The sequence below is a fragment of the Homo sapiens genome, chromosome 5, assembly GCF_000001405.40.
Source record: "Homo sapiens chromosome 5, GRCh38.p14 Primary Assembly".
In the NCBI taxonomy this organism is placed as follows: domain Eukaryota; kingdom Metazoa; phylum Chordata; class Mammalia; order Primates; family Hominidae; genus Homo; species Homo sapiens.
This window is the reverse complement of record NC_000005.10, coordinates 41,151,150-41,175,243: the sequence shown is the minus strand read 5'-3', so window position 1 is coordinate 41,175,243 and position 24,094 is coordinate 41,151,150. Positions and strand designations below refer to the sequence as shown.

At 37.1% G+C, this 24,094-nt stretch overlaps 1 protein-coding gene and 1 long non-coding RNA gene across 15 annotated transcripts in view; one reads left to right on the top strand and one right to left on the bottom strand.

The window, feature by feature from the left end:
* The window catches only part of C6 (complement C6), a 119,354-nt gene that overhangs the window by 86,226 nt on the left and 9,034 nt on the right, over positions 1-24,094 (top strand). For 10 of the 13 annotated variants that reach the window (XM_047417689.1, XM_006714496.5, XM_011514114.4 and 7 more), the window contains 8 exons: positions 2,897-3,019; positions 13,385-13,551; positions 14,877-15,102; positions 15,786-15,842; positions 15,991-16,162; positions 16,459-16,570; positions 20,140-20,272; positions 21,246-21,434. In XM_047417689.1, the coding sequence (XP_047273645.1) occupies positions 2,897-3,019; positions 13,385-13,551; positions 14,877-15,102; positions 15,786-15,842; positions 15,991-16,162; positions 16,459-16,570; positions 20,140-20,272; positions 21,246-21,434 (1,179 nt within the window). The remainder of the gene's footprint in view (positions 1-2,896; positions 3,020-13,384; positions 13,552-14,876; positions 15,103-15,785; positions 15,843-15,990; positions 16,163-16,458; positions 16,571-20,139; positions 20,273-21,245; positions 21,435-24,094) is intronic. The other 3 variants (NM_001115131.4, XM_011514119.4, NM_000065.5) reach the window with 1 other exon arrangement.
* LOC105374739 (uncharacterized) overlaps positions 13,828-24,094 on the bottom strand; it is a 90,060-nt gene continuing 79,793 nt past the window's right edge. For both annotated transcript variants that reach the window (XR_001742650.2, XR_001742651.2), the window contains one exon: positions 13,828-13,931. This is a non-coding gene — a long non-coding RNA (uncharacterized LOC105374739). The remainder of the gene's footprint in view (positions 13,932-24,094) is intronic.

Genomic DNA, 24,094 nt, shown 5'->3' with positions numbered 1-24,094 from the left:
TCACTTCTTTGATCGCCAGGGTTGATTTGGCTGATCTGGCTGGCTGGATGGGTGTCCCCTTCCTCCCTCACCACTTTATGTGTGTCCCTCCAAAGCTGCATGCTCAGTCAAAGAGGATGACCACCTCCAACAGAGGAGGACTGGTCTTAGGTCAAGGGTATATGAGTAGCTGCACTCCCCTGCTAGAACCTCCAAACAAGCTCTCAGTAAGATGTATTCGATATTCTTGTATTCAATAAGTTTATATGGAATAATTTATCTGTAAAATTTTAATTGTTGTTAAAATGAAGCACACCCAGACAGAAATGACTTCTCAAGAAAATGAAATTCTCCAGTTCATGTGCTTACCTGGCTTTCCCAACTCTCTAGATAAATATGTATTCTGGCCTCTTCCCTTTTCTCTCCTCCTATTCTCTCTCCCTTTACCTCATCATAACATGAAACTAAAGTATAGATTTAATTTTTGCTATGCCTTATTCAATAAGAATTATATCCCCTGTTGTTAATTTTTGAAAAATGACTTGAATATTTCATAGTACTTTCTTTCCCTCAAGAAAAAGAAAACAAAATTAAATTGCCTTTTATTTGCATGCATTGATTTATTTCTCTATTGTTCAATGTCCCATAGTCAAGTTAAAACCTTGAATAAAAGTTGGCATTGCTTCAGTGTGCAAGGTGAAAAGAGTTTCATAAACACAGTGAAAACATCAAACAATAAAAATATCCTAATATGCAAGAGGATAATTTTAAACTCCTTTTATTGGGAAGTCATCTTCTACACTGAATTGGAGGTTAAAAATTATTCACCACACTACTTACTAATGTGAAATTTTCAACTAACACTCCTGTCTTTTACGCATCAGGGTAGCTAAAGACATTACTGAAATACTCATTCCTGTGCTCCACAGCAGAGGAACACTGAGGTTTAAGAGATGAGGTACTGCAGTATCAAGTAGCTTGTTAGTTCATACAGATAGAGGTCCAGCAGCAAAAAGCTGGACATACTGCAGGGAAGAAAAGGATTGCACAGAAATTCATTGATAAAGTCCAGATATTTTAATCACTGCATGACCAATGTCATAAAAAATATTCATCATTCAAATCTTTGAAGATTCATCTATAGCCCTCAAAAATGAAATTAAGTTTATAGTTAATTCATTATGTTATAGTTAATTAACTGGACACATACAATTTAATTATTACTTATAAATAATAAGAGCCTAAAGAATGGTTAAGAAAAGGAGTCATGCACTATAAATGCATTACATTCGTAGTATGGCCTAAATATTTGACTAACCCACTTATAAAAACAATCCTACTAGAAGAAAAATGAATTATATTTATTCAACCAGACTGAAACAACCATCTTTTTGTTAGGGTTGAATATGCAAACTAAGCATGAGGGCTTCAAACCAAGAATTTTTTACTCCCAAATAACAATGCATCTCTTCAAAACTGTCACAAAAAATGAGGTAGACAGGCCCAGTTCACATCTACCCAGCCTCATTTCTCAGCGATCTATGCCTTCAGATTTCCATTTCAATATCACACCTAATCAGAACCTCAAGCTCTAAAAACACCCATCCCTGCTATTATGACCTGCAACCCCAAATACTAGTATTTGATAACCTACTTTGCTTTTAGGTGCTTAAGAGCTTATATTAACAGCTCTACCTCTCATGTGCTCGTATTCTGCAAGGCAAATTTTAACTAAACATCAAAAGAGCTGGATTTTAGTTTTGATGTTTCCAGCAGTGAGTCAGGTGCCTGGGGAAGCTGTTAAGAAAAAGAAAATGTTGATTTCCCTCAATTACCCCAGATAGTACTAACTCAGCCTACAAAAATACTACATCTGTTTCCCTGCACTCTTCCACTAACACACAGATTCTGAGGCCATTGAGAATGATCACAGGACTGTGGTGGGAGTGGTTCAGATGCCCAAATCTTCAACAAATGATGCTAGAGAGTTTGATAAAGGAGAATAATGAGGACTAAAGGTATTAAAACCGGATGGCTGAGCCTCAGAGCATCAAGGTTTTCGCAGGTTATAAGACCATGGGGAGTCATCCAATGAAAGCAGCAGTGAGAAACTAGGAAGATATCATTCCCAATTCCCATACATGAATGGGGTGAGAATGTGGCCTTTTGAACTTCTGCTGGAGATGACAGTGGAAACAGTATCAAGTACAGGCTTGAATTAACATGAAGAGATAGAATAGCCAAGGAGGAGTCTGAAAATAATTCATAGGTCAGGAAGTCAGAATTTCTGAGATTACAATAAAAAGGATTTGGAGGTAGGGGCTGAGTGAGCAGGTGAATTAAGGAGAAGAAGCCCAGAGAGGTATGAGAATGAGTGTTCACGGAAGAAGCATGGCCAAGAAGATTTGCATTTTAGGTGACAAACAGGGAAGCAATTGAAGTGGACTCAGGTCTCACAGAATCAGCAGTGGCCCGGAAAGTAGGTCTTGGAGTAGAGAACAGATCAGAGCACGTCATAATCTTTTGATTTGCAGGGCTACACAGTGCAGCGGCCAATAGAAAGGGAGAGCTTAAAGCTCCATTGTGTTAAGTGGCAACAAGTGGCAGGCAACAAGGACAGGACATCACCATCCCCATGGGAAGGGCCAAAATGGCTCATATGTGCTTCTGAGGGTCAGTGCTGAAAGGGGAGATGATGGGCACTCACGGGACTCCTGTTCAGGATCATCTCTGGGCCCATGCAGGATTGAATCTATAGGTAAAACTAACTTGAGCTGTCACTTAAGATTATGGGGACTGGGGAAGAGAGGGGCTAATATAAAGTATCTGTAGATCCGAAGTGACCAGAGCACCATGTTCCTCTTTGAATTGTCAATGGTGCATTCTCAGTGGTTTCTGTTTGTACTTCATCTCCTAGGTTTAACCGAGGAAGAAGCCAAACACTGTGTCAGGATTGAAACAAAGAAACGCGTTTTATTTGCTAAGAAAACAAAAGTGGAACATAGGTGCACCACCAACAAGCTGTCAGAGAAACATGAAGGTAACAGTACTCTCTCTTAGCAGCTTATCCAGTGTGCCCTGAGCCTGGCTGTCATTTACAGACCATATTGGATGTGACTGTGCTATTTTTAGCTTTTCATTTATTTCATTTCTCTTCCTCAGAACCCTGTGTGTTGGAATAGGGGATACAAATAAAATAGCATTAGCATTACCTAAAAAAGGAAATTGTTAAGGTTTTCTTTATCTCATACTTAGGCTGTTTAATGAATAATTTATTGATTTTGCTCATGGACAGAACTCAATATTAGGCATTGTGAAGTGCATATGGCTGTGAACCAGGACCTTACAAAGTAAAGAAACATATAAACATCCATTAAAAATACAGACTGACAAGGGTCTAAGAGAGGTATAGTTTCTAAAAGGCTATAAAGGACTATGGGCAGAAGAAAATCCTGGGATTGAAATACATCAGATTTTGTGAAAAGAATTATTTTGGGGCCATGCATTAAAAATGGCTGAAGACTTTGGCAAATGGAAAGAGTGAGAAAGAAAATCCAGGCAAAAAAATACTGAAAAAAGAAGATACAAGTTATGTTTTGCAGAATGATCTTACTCCTTCCCAATTTTAGCCACTGCTTTCACTCTTCTATCCCAATCCCCAATCCCAATAGGCTTTCACTTTTCTATCCCAATCCCCAACCCAGACATCCCTTCTGAACTCCAGACATCTACTGTCCACTAAACATCTCTACCGGAAAGTCTATAGGCTACAATGCTTCACATATTCTCTCCCTGCTGCTGTTGGTTCTCACTCATATCTAATAGCATAGCCTTTACATTATAGCCCAGTAGGACTGTTGTGAAGACTAAGTGACATGGTGTTTATAAGGAGCCTTGCAGAGTGACCAGCAGTGGTTGGCTCCTTTCACCTTTCCTCTCCTTCAGCAGTCCCAGCCTTGATGATGGCATCACCGTCAACTAAATCAGCCAAACCAGAAACCTGGCTGCTGTCCTTGATTCTACCCTCTTTCTATATCTAATAAGTAACCATGCACAATTCATTCTACCTCCTGAATGTCTCTGCAAGTTGTCTTCCTCTTTTTATTTCCATGGATATAAAACCTTCAATGGAAGGCAAACTTTCCATTCAGTATTTCCAACCTGGATTATCTTAGAAGCCCCCTAAGTGGTCTTCCTGCTTGTAGTCTGTTTTATTCCAGTCTACTCTACACATTTTATTGAGAGGAATCTTCTCTATGGAAAATCTTATTCATGAAACCTTCATACTTAGAACATGTCAGGTTTCACATGGCCTTAAGCATAAGTTCCTGTCCTTCTCTGCACAGCTAAACTTTATACAGCCTCCTAAACAAGTCATGCTCTCTCCTATGCCTTGCCATTATAAATAACTCCTTCCTCTCTGTAAAATTCTGTTTCCTTATTTTGCTTGACTACTTAGAATAAAGGGAAGCAGAATCACAGACATTCCCAAATTTGAAGCTTACCTTCTCATGGAGAAGACAGACAAGAAACAAATAAAATATAATATTTACTATAATAATAAACAGATAATTTTAAATATGATATCAGAACAGGTAGATGGTCTACATACACATGACTGTGTTATGCATAAGCAAAATGAGAAGAACTGGCTTGACAACTGCACACTCCTTATAGCAAAGAAGAAAAAGAGGGCACAAAGGCATATAGCATGCAAAGCAAATAATCTGGTAATATTAACCAAAATATGAATACAGATTCTATATCAGTTTATCATGTAGTAAAATAATTTAATAAGAATATGAGTTCAATAAATCAAGAACTCAGAGATAGACAGATTAAATACAAGAATTAATTAAAACAGATTTCAAAGCTAAGGTACAAAAACAAACATTGAGAAACATAATCATTATAATTATAAATAAATTATACAATGCAAGGACAAAATATAATTCTTTAAAAATAAAATTAATAAAATTAATCACATACAAGAAAGATATCAAGTAATCTCAACATGGAAAAACATTTAGATATTATTAAAGAAAATTTGATGGAAATGGAATGACAAATGTAATTTAATATGTGAAAATTAGTATCCGTGAAAAAGAGATCTCAGTAAATGAAATAGAAAAACTGTATTTTTAAAAAATGTTATATAAGAATATGTCTCTGAAATAAAGGAAGAATTTTTTCTTGATTATATACAGGGAAATATTGTTCAAATATGCAACTTCAAGACAAATTCTAGAAATACAGTATTAAGTCCTACTGGAAAAAAACTACTCAACTATAAAATCTATGCAACAAAGACATGAATGAAAAACCAATTGGAATAATTCAGATGTTCAAAGCTAGGATATTTTAATGGAACTTAACATAGCTTTCTGATATGGTTTGGATTTGTATCCCTTCCCATATCTCATTTAGAATTGTAATCCCCAATGTTGGAGGAGGGGTCTGGTGGGAGGTGACTGGATCATTGGGGCAGAATTCCTCCCTGCTGTTCTCGTGATAGTGAGTTCTTATGAGATCTGGTTGTTTAAAAGTATGCAGCACTTTCCCCTTCACCCTCCTCCTACCACTCCAGTCATGTAGGACGTGACTCCTTCCTCTTCACCTTCTGCCATGATTGCAAGTTTCCCGAGGCCTCCCCTGCCAGGCTTCCTGTACAGCCTGTGGAACGGTGACCCAATTAAACCTCTTTTCTTTATAAATTACCCAGTCTCAGGTAGTTCTTTATTGCAATGAAAGAATGAACTGATATACTCTCAAATTCCTATTTCTTCTAAGTGGTAAAAAGTATAAAATTGCCAGTGTAATGTAACCCAGCCGTTCTGGGTTTCAGTTTTCAATTTTCAGTCAAACTCAGGATTCCCTCACCTTTCTCCTTTGCTGCTTGTCAGGGATAATTTAAGAGTGCGTGTGTGTGTGTGCCTGTGTGTGTGTGCGTATGTGTGTATGTACACATGCACATGCATATGCATATGCATATGTGTTGGGGAAGGGTGGCCAGATAGTATCCTAGAGTCACAGGGAGAATGAGACCTTTGTTAGCATGTTTCTCTTTGCCTTGGCTAGCCTCATCTGATAGGTCATTTGCCTCCTCTGGTTCTCACAATCATGCACTGGCACCTATTGCCAATGTTGATGGTCCTGCCTTGGCTTTTGGTTACTAGATCCATATCCTTTGAATCTTCCTCACAAAAAGGCCAGGCCATCTTTTGTCTACCACTCTTTCTCAAGACTTTCTCACCTTCTTCAGGCTTTAGGGAACCCTTGCCTGTTTTCTGTACATCACAGTGAAATGTGAGGGCCTTGAGACTACTAAGGAACTACTTGCTTGGGTGCCATGTTGGATACAAAAGATTCTCTACAAGGCTTGCCATTCCCTTCCTACTACTTGAGAAGATTAAATGTACATGAGAGGACTTCAAAAAGTTCACAGGGAACTGGAAGTAAAAGATAAAAATAGAAAATATAAACTTTATTTATCAACATAAGTTTCATCAAGTTGACACATTTGTTAGCAATGATGCCAGCCATTTAGTCCATCCGTAAGGAACTGAGGGTCCTAGGACTTTAACTGTGTCAATGCAATCTTCTTCACATTAATAACTGAAAAAAAGGGTGCCCTTTAAAGACATTTTTAAGATTAGAAAACAAAAGAAGTCAGAAGGAGTCAAAGAAAGACTGTAAGGTGAATATCTAATAATTTCTCATCTAAAAAATTGCCCTTGTTTGATTAGAGGAATGAGTAGGAGCATCGTCACAGTAGAGAAGGTGTCCCTGGTAAAGCTTTCCTGGGCATTTTTCTGCTAAAAGTTTGGCTGTCTCAAAACACTCTCATAATATGTTATTATTCTTTGACCCTCCAGCAAATCAACAAGCAAAATGCCTCGAGCATCCCACAAAACCATTTCCAAGACCTTTGCTCTTGACTAGGCCATTTTTGCTTTGGCTGGCCCACTTCCACCTCTTGGTAGCCATTACTTTGATAGTGCTTTGTCTTCAGGACCATACTAGTAAATCCATTTTTCATCTCCTGTGTACATTTCTTTTTTAAAAGTGCTTCAGGATCTGATCCTACATGTTTAAAATTTTTATTGAAAGCTCTGCTCTTGTCTGCAGCTGATCTGGACACAGTAGTTTTGGCAGCTATTGAGTGGAAAGTTTGCTCATCTTTAATTTTTCAGTTATGATTGTGTAAACTGAACTAATTAAGATTTCTACAGTGTTGGCTCTTGTTCCCACTGTTAATCATCAGTCTTCTTCAATTAGGGCAGGAATAAGGTAAATTTTTTCCTCACAAATTCATGTAGATGGTCTACTGCTAGGAGTTTTCTCTTCAACATTATTTCTTCCCTTCCTACAATGAGTTATGAATCTGTAAACTGCTGATTGCCTTGAAGTATTGTCCCCATAAACTTTTCCTAAGGCATCAGTGATTTCACCATTCTTCCTCCCAAGCTTCACCATAAATTTGATGTTTGGTCTTACTTCTATTTTAGCAAATTTCAAGTTGCTCTGATAGGGACTCTTTTCAAACTGATGTCTTATCCCTCTTTGTGCCTCAAGCTTGATCCTATTCAGCTATGTTATGATAAGTTAGTATGAGTTTATTTTTGTGCAAAAAAATTTGAAAGCTATGCATTTTTTTCATAATACACATTTTCCATTAACTTATTGCAGAGCCTCTTATGAGCTTCTATCAAACTTCTACTTGTCAAACTATTATTTCCAAGATTTTCCCCAAAGTGGTGGAATCTTAGGCCTGCACTAAGGAATCCATCAAGTCTATATTTTAGTTACCACATGTCCAATATTCCCCCATTCTCCCAGCTGCTCAAAATCTTTCCTACTTTTGAGAAGGAAAATGGCTGTTGTATACATTTTTTATCATTCTGTGGTTGATGTTGTAAATTCTGTGATTCTGAATCCTAAAATGTGTGGCTCTTGATATTTTAGTTCAAGCATTAAGGACTCAAGAATTCTTTTTCTCTCTCAAGAGCCTGGCCCTTGACATTAAAAACCCTAGCCTTCAAATCTATGATTTTTGCTAGATTTATAAAAGTATACTTGAGATCTCGAAAGACAAAATTTTGCTCTTTTTCTCTCTTGACTCTCTCCAGCCTGAGGCTGTATATATAGAAAGCCCATGATTCAGCTTCAATTATGAGAGAAATAATAGAGATAAAGAAAATATAAAAACACATAAAAAAATTAATATTAAAACATTAATCCAACAGATAAATATAGAGCCCAGGAGTAAAGAAACAGTGAGCAAAGATGAAGCAATGAGAACTGGATTCATTTACTGTATAAAACTAAGACTAAACAACAAGGGGAATAATTATTGTGCTTTTCTGCATTGCTTAAGTGTTAAATATGCTAAAGATGTAATAGCTATTTTGAAGTAACAAAATCTTGAAATTGTAATTTCAAAATTGAAAAATTTCAAAATTGAAATTTTTAGCAGACAGTCCAAGAAGTCTTACCTGATTACCATCTCTATTGTTGTTCATAATTAAGGTTAGGTGCCCTCCTAGACGTACTCACTGCAACCTGCATTCACAACATCATAGCACTCATCACACTGTATTATGTTTACTTTCTATTTCCTCCACAGTATGCAAATTCAGGACAGTGACATGGTCTTTATGTCCTCAGTACTTCATACCATGTTTAGCACATTATAAATGTTTAATAGATGTGCTCATTGAACACATGAATGCTTGAAAGAATAAATGAATGGGTAATTAACATTTATTGAACTCTTGCTATGCTCCAGGCACTGTCCTAAGTGTTCTGTGTGTGTTAACTTCTAATTCTCACAACAACCCCATGAGACTGGTACAATTATTACCCCCATTTTATAGATGAGGACACAGAGGCATAGAGAGGAAAAGAATGAATGTGTAAATGAATAAATGAGTATTTCTATTTAGCTTGAGCATAAATTTGTGAAATAAAGCTGACAAGGTAGGTTTAGTCCATACAAAACAGGGCTTGTATGCCTTACTAAAAAAATTAGACTTAATCCTATTAAATATTGTCACTATCCCACATATCATCTACAGAATGTTAATAGGTGCTGCATGTGAAAAGGGAGTTCCATCTTTAAATTGAAAAACTTTGAGTGTAACAGTGTTTAAGAGAAATTCTCAGCTTTTAAAATTATAAAGAACATTGTAGTTTTTTAAGAAGCTGATATACTATGCAGTTTTCCCCTAAAATACCTTGCCAAGAAATTCACAGACTTACTATTGAGCAGAACACTTTACTGGATTGATTCAGTGGGAAAGCAGTAAAAATTACCAAGTAGGAAAGTAAAATGTTATTTATAGAAATTATTTCATGCTGTGATGTATTAAGTTCATTGCATATCGCCTAAATTTTCAGGCTAGATTATATTCAAGTGTTGGCTCCACTGTTGATTGGCTATGTAATCAACATCAAGAGTTTAATCTTTCTTCTTGTAAGTAAAATAAAAATAATAATAGTATTTACTTATGCTTATTGTGAGAATTAAATAAACAATCCATATAAATTGATGAGGACAAAGCCTAGGCTATACTAAATATTCAATACATGTCTGCTATAATTATTTTGTAGTTGCACAAGTGACATGTAGTAAAGACATATAATATAGGAAAATTGTAGTTGAAATTGTAAAATAAGCAAAAATATAGAATAAGCCCTTCACAAAAGAACATATTTTAAAAAGCAATAAACATGAAAATATGATAAAGATAACTGGGAATCAAAAGGATAAAATTAAAACCATAAAATACCACCTCATGCAAATGATGAAAAAATTTAAATTAACAAGTATTGGCAGTAGAACTTCACAACCTGCCATACATTGCTGGTAGGAGTATAAATTGGTAATACCATTTTGGAAACTATTTGGCAATATCTACTAAAGTGAAACATAAATGCACGCACACATATTTATGACTTAGAAACTCTACTAATAGATATGCGCCAACAAAAATATGCACACACATGGATCAAAAATAAGAAAAGCCACATTGTTCATTTATTGGATACAACTCAAATGTCTATCAAGAGTAAAATGAGCAAATTATGATATGAATTAACTACTACTACAAACAAGATAGATGAATGCCACAAACATAAAACTGAGCAAAAGAAACCAGGCACAAAAGAGTACATGTTTTAAAACCTTACATATAAAGTTAAAAATATGCAAAGCTAATCTATAGCAATAATAATACAATTGGCGTTTGCATTTGGGGATGGAATAATGACTGGATAAAAGCATGAAGGAGGCTTTCCGGTGTTGCTAGAGTTCTATTTCCAGGCGTGGGCAGTGATTATATGGGTGTGCTCACTTTTTACAAATTAATTGAGCTGTATGCTTAATGATTTATGTACATTTCTGTGTCAATATTATACTTCAGTATAAAAATTTACTTAAAATATAAGAAAATACTAGACTGGAATCAGGGCAACTTAGGAAACTGAGTTAATGTAGAGGAATTGACATGAGAAAATATCACATATGGACCCCAGTTTTCAGCCTGTAGGAACAAGAGGACATTGCAAAGTTAGAGACCGTTGCAATAGGCTCCAAGCTGGCTTTTCAATTACCCATTGCTACCCAGATGACACAATACTGCTAATATTCCTGAATCATTTTAAATCCCCACCTCAAAACCTTTCATTGTTTCTAGGGAATGCAATTGTTTCTAAACCTGAAGAATGAAGTCTAATTTCCTTGGCTTTACATCCAGACTCTCTCATTTCTGCTGTTCTTCCCCCTCCCTGGACCTTCCATTTCAACTCAAACTCATGCCTATATGTGCTGTCTCCAGAGCATGGCACAACGGCCCTGACTCCAGGTCCTTGCCCATGGTGTGCCCATGCTTAGAAGGCCATTGTCTCCCTAATATTAGGGCCATGATCTCCCTAATAGGTCTCACCTTTCCTTCCAGGAACATGTCAGTCTTCCTTCAGAGCGCCATCCTCCTTAATTGCCAAAGATGACAGAATTATTTCATTTTCCTAACTCAGTAATTGTTCATTGTTTTTACCATTGAGTAATACTAAGCAAAAACTATTTTATTGGTCTTTTTAATTTCCTTTCTTTTCTTCCATTTTCCCTCCCTCTCTCCCTCCCTCCCCCCTTTCTACCTTCCTTCCTTTCTTCTTTTCCATCCTTGTTTATTTCTCCATAGTCTTGCTAGCATATTTATATACCTATTCCATATACTCATTGAGAGTCTGAGTTCTTAACACGATATTTTATATTTATCTGGGCCTGACATATAGAAGATTCTCAACAAATTATTGATGACAATTTGCCTAAAGTCAAAGTCACAGACACATTGAAGAGCAAAACACACACAAGAACATAGATTTGCCTATTTCTAACCCTGAGCTATTTCAGTTAAATCATTGGACTTCAGACTTCTCAAATCTGTAATTATATCATTTTTAAAATTTTTTGAGGATATATCACTAATTTATACATTTTTACTAAAGAATTGTAGAAATGTATTATTCAAAAATGTGCATTAAAATATGCAAATGTAAAAAATGGAAATTGTTTTTTAAATAGCATATATGAAACAAACAGAACTTTTATCTTCCTCATAGTAGTGGCTGCACACACTTAAAAACAAAGTTCAGGCTGGGCGCAGTGGCTCACACCTGTAATCCCAGCACTTTGGGAGGCCAAGGCAGGCAGATCACAAGATTAGGAGACCAAGACCATCCTGGCCAACGTGGTGAAACCCTGTCTCTACTAAAAATATGAAAATTAGCTAGGCCTGGTGACGCATGCCTGTAATCCCATCTACTTGGGAGGCTGAGGCAGGAGAATCACTTGAACCCAGGAGGCAGAGGCTGCAGTGAGCTAAGATCGCACCAATGCATTCCAGCCTGGGCGGCAGAGCGAGACCTCTATCTCAAAAAAAAAAAAAAAAAAAGTTCATTGATAAATACATATATTACAAAAGTTTCTTGAAATTTTTGACATGCTTTTGGTCAGCTTTGGTGTTCATCTTACGATGTGGCTTCTGAGAAGATTGTATAAGTAGAAATATTCATTCTGTCTTTTACTAGTTTTTTTTTTTCTTTTGTTTGCATTATTGGCATTATCTTCAATCTGCATTTTCTTTCTGGAATCTTTTTAAGGCACTTGCTCACTTGTGAGAGTAAGCTAATGGAACAGTAAACAGACTTACTCTTTCTTCAGGATCCCATGCCCCTCACAGATAACCCTTACCAGTGTCAATCCATTTATGAAATACATGGTATCAATCTAAATATGAAATAACATGACGAAGCCACTGTCAGTCTGTACATGATATATTGGCAAACTCTAATTTGGCTTCTACTTTTCCATGAAAAATAAATACAAAAACCTCTAAAATTTTCCTTGTATACCTTTGTTTTGTTACGCCTTATACCTGTGTTGTGTTATGCACTTGACTCTAAAAGCAGCCATACTACTTTCTTCATAGGAAGACAGTTGCATCCATTTCCTAATCATTCTAGACTATCTTACTATAGAATTGCTAAATAGTGGGATCATAGCTAATTCTTACTGATAGACACCAAATTAATGCCACTAACTATCGCTCATATCACTAGCCTTCTTTTTATTTGCTACTATTTCTTATGGCAATTCCTTATTACTCAGTCTCTATCCCTGTTAGTTAGAGTTACCATTTGGTTAGTGGAAATTGTTATGGCAATTTGTATAAAAGAGTTGTGCTATATACTTTAACAGTAAATGTCATTGTGTCTAAAGAAACATTGTGCCAACTCTTAACCTGATGGGGGTTTTTTTCTGTGTTAGTTGTGCTTTCACCTCTGTCTTTAAATATAAAATCATTCCACCATTTTTTCCCTGTAATTGGAAGTTTCACCATGACAGTCAATTGACTGGCTATCAGAAGCCATGTGACTTATCTTATTCTGGGCACCCAAAACATATGCTAACATAAATCAGAAGCAGGGCGGTTGACATTAAAGAGTAAGGGGCAGAGTAGTCAAGGACTGGGCTATATTTGCATCCTAGTCCTGTCTCTTAGTAACCATGTGTTCCAGGACAAATTACTTTCGGCTTCAATGTTTATAATAATACCTACTTCTCAGGGTTGTCATGAGAATTATATAAGATGTGTGTAAAGTGCCTGGCATCTACCAGATGCTTAATAAATGGTAGCTGTTAGTACTGTTATTATTATTTCTATTATTAAACTCCCTACAGGGAGGAGGAGTGTTCTCTTGCTTTTTCACTTAGCTTTCTTAATGGAGCTACATACTGTACCATCTACTTCTCCCTTCTGTACAAATAGGTTTTTGTTTGTTTGTTTTAGAATAGGAATTTGCACTAAAATTAAATGGGCATTTTTATTGAAACACCTTGCAGGTTCATTTATACAGGGAGCAGAGAAATCCATATCCCTGATTCGAGGTGGAAGGAGTGAATATGGAGCAGCTTTGGCATGGGAGAAAGGGAGCTCTGGTCTGGAGGAGAAGACATTTTCTGAGTGGTTAGAATCAGTGAAGGAAAATCCTGCTGTGATTGACTTTGAGGTAAGAGTAAAAATTATTCCAGGTAAGAGATCTAAAGTAGTTCTCTAGCAGCCCAAATTGCACATCACACAATTTATTTTCCATTTTCTTCTCAGACAATGAAAGAAATGCCTTTCTTTAGTATTCATGCACAATGTACCTTTTTTTAAATGTTAAATTGCATGTCTAATGCGTTTGCTATTCAAACAAGCATTCAACAGTACAGTATTTAGAATTCCTAGCATGCATGAAACACCAGGAAATGGAACTTAGTGAATAAAAATGCTCAAACTTTCCTTGAGTAGTACTTTTTATTTTTTCATGTATACAATAAATCTGGTTTCTGTGTTCTTCTTGCAACTCCTTATTTGATGAACACTCCTAAGTCTTCATTTGTAGCTCTGTGAGATAAATGAGATTTTAGATCCATTTCTATTACTATTGATTGAATTTACCAGTTTTGTATTTGTTGTAATTACATTAAAAGGTGATATTTATTATTTATGGAATACTTTACCCACGTATCAGCCATATGCCATTTAGAACCTGTTTTCCCCCAAACATATCCATATTTTTAAAAGGCCTCCAAAGAAGCTGTTATGTTCATTTCATTTAAATGAAGATAAAAGGTTTCAATCATTATGAAAATAGAATCATTTGCCTGCAGCGTGAAGATGTGTTGAGCTCTACATGTTATGGGAGAAAAATGAGACCCAGCTGCCCCTCCGGGTACTTGCAAGTCATATTGCACTAGAAGGTCATTTCTTTGAGGTTTTATGATGTTAATAAAATGAGCACTGATTTATCATTAGCCTATTATTTGTTACTGTAATTCTTCCATTCATCCTACTGGCAAGTTTATTTCTTCATTTTCTCCCACTCCACATTTTCTCATCTAACTCCAACAAAAGCCAAAACTGTCCTGGAAAAAAAGAACATGGAAAGCTTCTCTTATCCTCTCTAAATTTTTTGCTGCTTGAATCAAATTTAATGAGGTTTCAGTAGAGCAGGAAAGAGTTGCCTAACTCTTGGTCACCTATCTCAGTGCTTTGATGCATGCATAGAATACTTAATAAATAACATGATATATAACCAAGTAAGCAACACCTCCCATGCTTCCTTCACAGTAAAATTGTAGGGAAGGTAAGTGCCATATACATCACACCTGTCCACAGGTAGAAGGCTTTTGCCTACTGGTTCAACAGGTGCAATACTATATTCTGCAATAATCCCTTTGAAGTGTAAAATTTTCAGGCTTTCCCTCTCATTTCAGAGAACTGGGCAGTAATGGCAACCTATTACCAAAGGGGATGTGACTGGACCTCCTCTCTCCCATTTTCTCCTAGCTTGCCCCCATCGTGGACTTGGTAAGAAACATCCCCTGTGCAGTGACAAAACGGAACAACCTCAGGAAAGCTTTGCAAGAGTATGCAGCCAAGTTCGATCCTTGCCAGTGTGCTCCATGCCCTAATAATGGCCGACCCACCCTCTCAGGGACTGAATGTCTGTGTGTGTGTCAGAGTGGCACCTATGGTGAGAACTGTGAGAAACAGTCTCCAGATTATAAATCCAGTAAGTATCAGGAATCTATTGTGAGGTAGATAAGTTTTCCCCTCCAAAGAGTATTCTAAGTTGGTCAATTAAAAAGAAACAAAACTTCTATTAGCAACCTCCACCTTGTACAGGCTCAGAGGGAAGATAAACCTGCAAAAAGTGTGAGTCTCAGCTGTAACCTACCAACTATGTGAGCTTGGGAAAGTTACCCAGCTTCCCTATGCCTCAATCTGTTCATCCATAAAATGAGGATAACACCAGTATCTATCTAAGGAATATGAATATATTATATGCGTATTTATATATCAAGAATACATATACAATGCTCATAACATAAAAAATCAAACATAACATCAAATAAAATATATGATTCTGATATTATAAGCCTCTTATGTATTGTAATATAGAAGGATGGCTTTGTAATAAAAAATAAATTAAGCCACAACCAAAGTTTTCATACAGGACTAAGTATGTTCATAGTTACCTCAAATCCTCCTTAGAAACAGGGTAAGGCATGGGAGTAAGAATGTATACTACTTCCTTTAAAAGTGTAATTTAATATGCATTCTGTTAAGAAGATGTTTATATTTATACACATATGAGTGCACATTTTTAAAAGGCCTCCAAAGCCAAGAATACAGAGGTTTCTTAACAGTTGAAAATAATTCATAATGATTGCCATTTGTTGCCATTTTATTTAGGCTTATGGGAACAAAGTCTAAAAGGAAATCAGGCAATGTGTCAGGCCCCTTGCACAGGTAATTTCTTTTAATCCTTAGAAGAACCCTATCATATCCCACAAAGGAAGTTACTGAGCTAAAAAGTGAGGAAACCAGGTTGGCCTCACTTCCAAACCCAAATTCAGCTGCACCATGATCCATGGGAGTGAGTCTTCCTTTGTTCCAGATGCAGTAGACGGACAGTGGGGTTGTTGGTCTTCCTGGAGTACCTGTGATGCTACTTATAAGAGATCGAGAACCCGAGAATGCAATAATCCTGCCCCCCAACGAGGAGGGAAACGCTGTGAGGGGGAGAAGCGACAAGAGGAAGACTGCACATTTTCAATCATGGAAAACAAGTAAGGCCGGGTAAGGGAAAAGAATGGGTCATTTTGCCCTAACTCTCAATAACATTGAGAGTTCAAATGGTTATTAGTCTACTGCTAAGTAAAGAAATAATTAGAACTTTACCTATGCCAACACAGAATATTAATGAGCCACTGGGTCTACTGCCGTGCCTTTTTCTGTGTGTAATGTTTTCTATTTAATACATATATGTATGCAATGTGTACACATGTATACACATAAGCATATACACACATGTAAATGTGTGTACATACATACATATACACACATATTTATGTTTCCCTTTTAGTGGACAACCATGTATCAATGATGACGAAGAAATGAAAGAGGTCGATCTTCCTGAGATAGAAGCAGATTCCGGGTGTCCTCAGCCAGTTCCTCCAGAAAATGGATTTATCCGGGTCAGCATCCTAAACCTCACTTTTGGTTTGTAGTTTTAAAAACCTCGAAAAGTATAGCTTGTCTTTTAATTAGAGTTACTGTTTTCCTATTCGAATAATCTCCTATTGACTTTAAAAGTACAAAATAATATTTAGAAACACTTTGCCACTCTTCCATCTTGAATTTCCTAGAGATGTCTTCATAGCCAGTTGTTAGACTAAAGTATAGCAGATTGCTTGGGTTTCTTGGAAAGGTAATAGAACTTCAGTATAATATAGGATTGTATGACTTGTGAGAATTTGCAAGTAAGATCTGGCTATTTCAGAGTCTGAGCAAACTGATACCCTTACCTAAGGAATGTTTAGAGAAACACACTAGACTGGCTATAATCATGGAGGTGTTAATTCTGTATTGTTTTTATTAGGTTAGAAACCTGTAGAACTCTTAATCAGTCAAAACCATTTTCACATACCTTTAAGTTTCAACTTTTTTTTTTACCAAGCCACAACATGTTTCTATGATTTTTTTAAAAGCTGAATACATTTTGTCAGACAGATCTATGCCCTTTGACATAAATTTTACAGGTGATACATGATATCTAAAAGTGATCACAGAAGTCATGCTTCCTATTTCATTTTACCTTTCTTAAACTTAGTAATATCTTTACATTAATCTTTTCCCAACTGTATCACACTTATGATAAAAGATCAATAACACTCAATTCTCTAAGTCCAGCAAATAGTTTTATTCATGGAGTGTAGTCTGGGCTAATGTATCTTCCATATTCACTTATCTTCTGCCCATGCATAAGGACCATACCTTAAAGTTTATGGGGAGGAAATATTTCAGAGGAAGGTAATTTTAATTAGTCTTTACTCTAGAAAATAGGTTCTCAAACTCAACAATGCGCCAAAGGACCTGGTAAAACACAGATCATTGGGTCTCACTCCTCGAGTTTCTGATCCAGAAGGTTTTGGGAAGGGCACAGAAATATCCATTGCTAATACATTCCTAGGTAATATGGATGCTGCTGGTTTAGGAGCCACACTTTGGGAACAAATTCTCTTGAACAAGAGCCATCAATCTATGGCCCAAAGGCCAAATTTGACCTGCCACTTAAAAAAAAATAAAGTCTTATTTTTATTGGAACACAGCCACATTCATATGTTTACATATCGTCTATGGCTACTTTCATACAATAATGGCAGAAGTGAGTAATTTCAACAGATGCCATATGGCCTACAGATGACTATCCAGGCCACTTATAGAAAAGCTTACTGGCCCCTGCCCTAGAACATTATCCTTAAAATCACATATTGGCAGATCCAGATACCAAAATAACTTTTAATCTATTTGTTCTGGCTGCATACAAAGACCGTTAAAATTATTGACATTCTCATTTTTAAAACACACGAAGGCTTTCAACAGTGATGCATTATTCTTCTAACTCATTTCGTAAGGTTAGATTATATATTCCCATTTTCATGGATAAATTCATTTCTTATTTTATTTTGCTCTTTACTAAAGGCCTGGTCTCTGTCTGGCAATAGTTTTTACTCAAATGTAATAAAATTTTATTTTTTCCTAATAAGCATCTTCTGGAATTTCTAGTGGCAAAATGCCCCTTGTATAGATTCAAATAGAGGCAGATATGCCTAATTCCAGGCTAGAGCAATGATGTTATTGCACACAAGTATATTTATTTAATGAGTAACAGACAAGTCCAACCTCTGTAAGTGACAGGGACTTTTGGCAAGGTTTTTTGTTTAGTCAGTCTACTAGATGTACTTCCCTAAGTTTGATTATTGCAACATACACTTATATGTTACAGATTCATAAGAAACAAGAAATAGAAACAAAAGTTTAAGGCAAAAATTTATTTCAGAAGAAATGCAAGAAAAAATGTGCAGCCTTTGAAGAAAACATCCAAATCATTAGTCCATTTCCCTTGGAAACAAAGCCATATCAGTAATAACCAACAGTAGGATGGTAGTTTTGTATCCAGAAAATTAAGAATCTTCTAGGAGACAAGTTTAACCATATGGCCAAGTAACAACATAAGCTGACAATTAAGCTTTCACCGCTCTCAAAGTTCCCAACTTCAATTCTCAGAAGAACAACTGCTTAGTCAATTCTTGGTACTCTTGCCCCTCTCAGTAAAGGAAAATTGTATTGCATTACTAGCTCCTTAAGAAGGATAATGTTTTGTATTCTTTCAGCAAAGAATTAAGGCCTGTGTAAAGATTTATGAGACAGAGATCTGGTTGTGGAGTTGCCACTAAAGGATCAGGGGTGGGGCTGATAAACGTGATAAACACTATAAAAATAGAGCTTTGCATGAGTTTCCCTCAGAACTGAAAGGACGTTGTACCTCAAGATACTAGGGAAATCAAAGATTTTTGCAAAGGATGTTCTATTTGAGCTGGGTCTTGAGAGAAGGGAAGAGAGAAGGTGTTGAGGATACAAGAAACAACCAAGTGGAGACATGGAGGCATGAAAAAGAAGTTTATGTTCGAAGAATGGCAGGGTTTTGTTTTGCTAGAGCATAGGTTTTATGGGAGGAAATGGCAGGAGGTGAGGGTGGTAAAGTAAGTTAAAATAAATATTCCAAACTAAGAAGTCTAAGACCCACTTTACCTTGAAAATTGTAGTGAATCACCCCCACCCCCCAGCAACATGAAGGTAGTTGTACAATCCATTAATTGGGAAAATATATAATGACCAATGGGTTACTAGGAATTGAGTAACATTTTTAAATGATCTGCACTCAGTCATAATAGCAACTGCATATGTTTGCTTTATATGTAAGATATATTATTTATTCAGTTTATAGTCACTACATGGTGAGTATATGGTTTTTCTATTCTAGCAATAGTAGGACATCCCATATATAGTTTTTTGGTTTCTTCTATTTTTTTTTTGTTTTGGGTTTTTGTTTGTTTGTTTGTTTTTTGGTTTTTGTTTTGAGACAGGATTTCACTCTGTTGCCCACGCTGAAGTACAATGGAACAATCATGGCTCACCACAGCCTCAACCTTCTGGGCTCAAGCAATCCTCCCACTTCAGCCTCCCAAGTAGCTGGGACCACAGGCCATGCCACCACTTCTCGCTACTTTTCTGTATTTTTGTGGAGACAGAAAATACTGTCTGGCTACTTTTTTGTATTTTTGTATTTTGTGGGTTTTGCCATATTGCCCCAGCTGGTCTCGAACTCCTGAACTCAAGTGATCCATGTGCCTCAGCCTCTCAAAGTGTTGGGATTATAGTCACAAGCCACCATTCCCAGCAGGGGAGCAAGTTTTCAAGTTAAAAAAACAAACAAACAAAACCCTAACCAATTTAGGGAGATGGATTAGAAGAGTGACCAGTTATAAAGTTGCCCTAGTAAGAAAGAATAAATATCATGAAGAAAAACAATGATGGCAACAGGAAGCAGAGAACTTTAACAGGTTTTTAGAAGTAGAAATTGAGAGGACTTGGTGACTGAGTAGATCCAGAAGTGAAGGATAGAAAGGATCAGTGTGAGACTAAAGAGTTTAGAGAGTGTTATTCATAGCATTAATAATTTCTGGTTTCTGCTTTAATTAAGAATGAAAAGCAACTATACTTGGTTGGAGAAGATGTTGAAATTTCATGCCTTACTGGCTTTGAAACTGTTGGATACCAGTACTTCAGATGCTTACCAGACGGGACCTGGAGACAAGGGGATGTGGAATGCCAACGTGAGAACTGGGCAAACAATTTTGCTTGACTACTTTACAGAATGAATGTGCCCAATATAAAAACAGTAAAATCACATCCTTAGATCAATACATTTTACTAGTTTTTAGTAACTCTGGTGAAAGATTTTGTGAAGCAGAAAATAAATAGAAGGGCTCATTTGCTAAAACTGGATTTCCAGATTATCTCCATATTTCAGTGTTCCTGCTCCTACCTATTACTGTCACACACATAGGACTGTGAAGTATGCACTTCAAAAGAAATCCAGGAAGTCTGCAAGCTGTATCTAACCACAGACATCTGCTTTGCCCAATGTTCAAATTGACGCAAAATGCTGAGTCTCAAGAAGATGATATTTACACTCTTTATGTAACAGAAATGGGAATTTGTGTAAGATGGGATTTTGTGTAAGACGTAGTTTTCGCCAAGACACTACTCCTTGGTTCATGTTCACATTCTTTACTGAGAAAGAGTGAATGAGCTTTAGGCTCTGCACATATCTGTGCTAGAGTAAAGTGAAAAACAAGATTCAAATAAGGCTTGAATGAGAGTCCAAAGACTTATTGTGGGAGACCATGAAGCAGAGTTGAGACCAGTGTCAATTAGAATGCCCATCACTCTGCATCAGTCATAGCGTGGTAACTTGCATTTGGAGAAATCCACTAGGGATAAGAGAAAAGAAAGTGTTTCTTGAAAGGAAAAGGTCCCAATGATTTCATAAAAGTTGGATGTGTCTGGAGCCAGTTCTTTAGCAAGGGAATCTCAGATAATGAAACTAAAGGGAATTTTTCAATGAAGGGTCTGAGGGAAAGCCCAGGATTCTTATCCCCCAGGTTTTCTGATCAAAAGGAGGCACCAAAGCTGAACAGATGCAGTAAATCTCATCAAAATCACCTCTTTGGTTGCACAAAATTTGCCTAAATTTTTTGTTTATTCTGCTCCACTAAACACATATGAAATGTTGCTCTCTTGCAGGGACGGAGTGCATCAAGCCAGTTGTGCAGGAAGTCCTGACAATTACACCATTTCAGAGATTGTATAGAATTGGTGAATCCATTGAGCTAACTTGCCCCAAAGGCTTTGTTGTTGCTGGGCCATCAAGGTACACATGCCAGGGGAATTCCTGGACACCACCCATTTCAAACTCTCTCACCTGTGAAAAAGGTGAGTAGCAGCTCAGTGTTCTGGGGTCTGATAAGGTGGTGCACCCTGAGATTGGTAGTATAGCCTCTATAGCCATTATATTTCTTAAGCACTGAGAGGCTAAAAAAGATGCAAGTTTAGACAGTGTGGGTCAAACCGGAACTATGCAATAGCTCTGCTAATTCCCTAAGCTCATTGCCATCCTGCGTCCTTTATTCTCTTCTGGGCTTTTATAACGTGTGAAAGAAAGGGAGAAAGTTAACCTTTTGAATAACCTTAAATAAAATTATCAGTAAAGCGATCTCATGGAAATTAGTGAGAACTTCAGGTTTAAGTATTGTGTCTTGGTTTCACTAGACTCCTGATCATAATAATAAATTACAAGGAATGTAAGTGTCAGTGGAATGAATGTATGTGGAAGCCATAGACTTCAGAAAGTTAGGATCTTTAAGACACTGTAGGCAGTATCCTCATAAGGGCATATGCATGCATGTGCACACACGTGCCCTTAGATTAGAAATTAAAATTATAATCCAAACTGAGAAATAGGAAATGTTCCACAGCTAGATAAAGGAAATACATAGCCTATTTCATATACTTTCTCTCCAATAATATTGACAGAAAGACCAATAAGGGGAGTCACAGAAAGAGAAAGACAATCATAAATAAAACCCGACACTGTGAGGTAAAGACACTTTCAGGCAGGGAAACATTATTAATTCTTTCAATGTGAAAAAGTTCTGCTTCATGAAGATGTGAGATGCTACACCGTTACTTTTTTCCTTCCTCCCAGACCTGGACACCTCCCTTAGCCCTTCAGAGGATCCTCTTGCCCTGAGCACTTTACAGACTGTGGAGTATTTGTTGCTCCTGTGCTGGGAGGTGTGGGCAGCTGAGTCCCAGCACTGCTTCAACCTGAGGCTGATTGGAAGAGCAGATTCCTTGCATAAGATCATTGACAATTTCAAACCTGTAGTGATAGAGCAAGGCTGTGTGCCACTTGAAAGCTGAATTGATTCTTTTTGGAAACAATGTATACCTTGCTGCTCCTCCCAGGCCTAATTACAAAGGGCAAAGAGGCACAGGTAAACAATATCACCACATTGTAAACCATAGTAGCTAAAGCCTTACCGGAAGGATAGGTCTCCAAGTTCAGGAGAGTTCCGGGCCAAGTTTCACCAGATAAAATGGTGGTAATAGAAGGAAAGGAAAACAACTGTGAATAAGAAACCTAGGAATTTTTTACATCTTTATTTTTGCTTCTTACGTGAGCCACCTTTCCTTATCAAACCTTCTACTTGATAAGCTAAGAGGAGGAAGAGTGAGCTGAGCCTCCAGTCCTGCCTTGACAATTAACTTGCTCACGAGGTCATTTTGGTTCTTGGGATGCCTGAATAGTCAGATCCAGATCAAGAAAATGTGTTTCATTCAATAGACTGAGGAGTTCGGCTTCAGGTCCAGGTTCTCTAGGTGGGCCTCAACATGAGCAAAGAAACCAAGGTTCCCTCTTTCATAAATACACCCCCAGTGTCACTCCCTCTATTTTCATCCCCCTCCCTCACCGACATGCTATTCAGTTCCTCATCTTGGTTCAAGTGTAATTTCCTTATGAATCCTTCCCTAATCTTCCCAGTTGGAGTCTTTATGGTATGTGGTCTCCTGAAACCATGTTCCCTTTCTTCAGAATACTTGTCTCAGCCCTTTATTATAAATCCGTTATTATAATTACTTGATTAACATCTGTTTTCTCTTTCTTTTTTCCTCTCCTTTCCTCTCCTCTCCTCCACCTTCTTCCTTCCATCCTTCCTTTCTTTTTTTTTTCCCACCATAATGTCCTAGTGCCTAGAATGCCATGCAGGGATTAATAGCTACATTTAGGAGCTGCATTTCTCCACTGATTCTTGTAAGAAAATCTGAATTTCAAGCCATTCACATCCATATTGCTAAATCTAATGGACTTTTTTTTTTTTTCCTTATCTTCTGTGGCCTTTCGGCAGCCTTCAGCAATGTTGACCTTCTGCACATATGTTCTTTCCTTGGCTTCATATTCTTGTTTAGCTCCGACATTTCTGGCTGTTGCCCTCTATTTTTGGTAGGCTCCTGCCAGTGCTTGGACATTAATCACTGGAGTTTCCCAAGTTTTGGATCTGTCCCCTCGCCTCACACTGCACTCTCCTACTGAAGAATCTCATCCACATGCATAGCTTCAGTGATTCCCCCATAGACAAATAACAGATTTAAATCTTTAGCACAGACTTCGCCACTGAGATTTAGACATGAATATCTAAATTCCTATATATCTACGTTGTTTGGATGTCTTAAAGATACCATAAATTCAACATCTACAGTAGGGAACTCTTAATTCATCACCCTTCCTTCCTAAAACTAAGCATTTTCTAATATTTTCTATTTCAGGTAAGGCACTAATGTATATTCTTTTATGCAAATCAGAAACCGAAGAATCATATAATTGACAGCTCTCATAACTTACATAATAGGTAATATCACTTGTTTTACCTGCTAGCTGTGTCTCAAGTTTATCCACTTTTCTCCATTTCCACCTCTGGAACCTTGGTCCAAATTATCATCCTCTTTCACCTGAACTACCACAATAACCTCATAGATTAGCTCCCTGGAGCCCTATTGACCACCATGCCTCTTCAAATCCATTCTCTGCACAG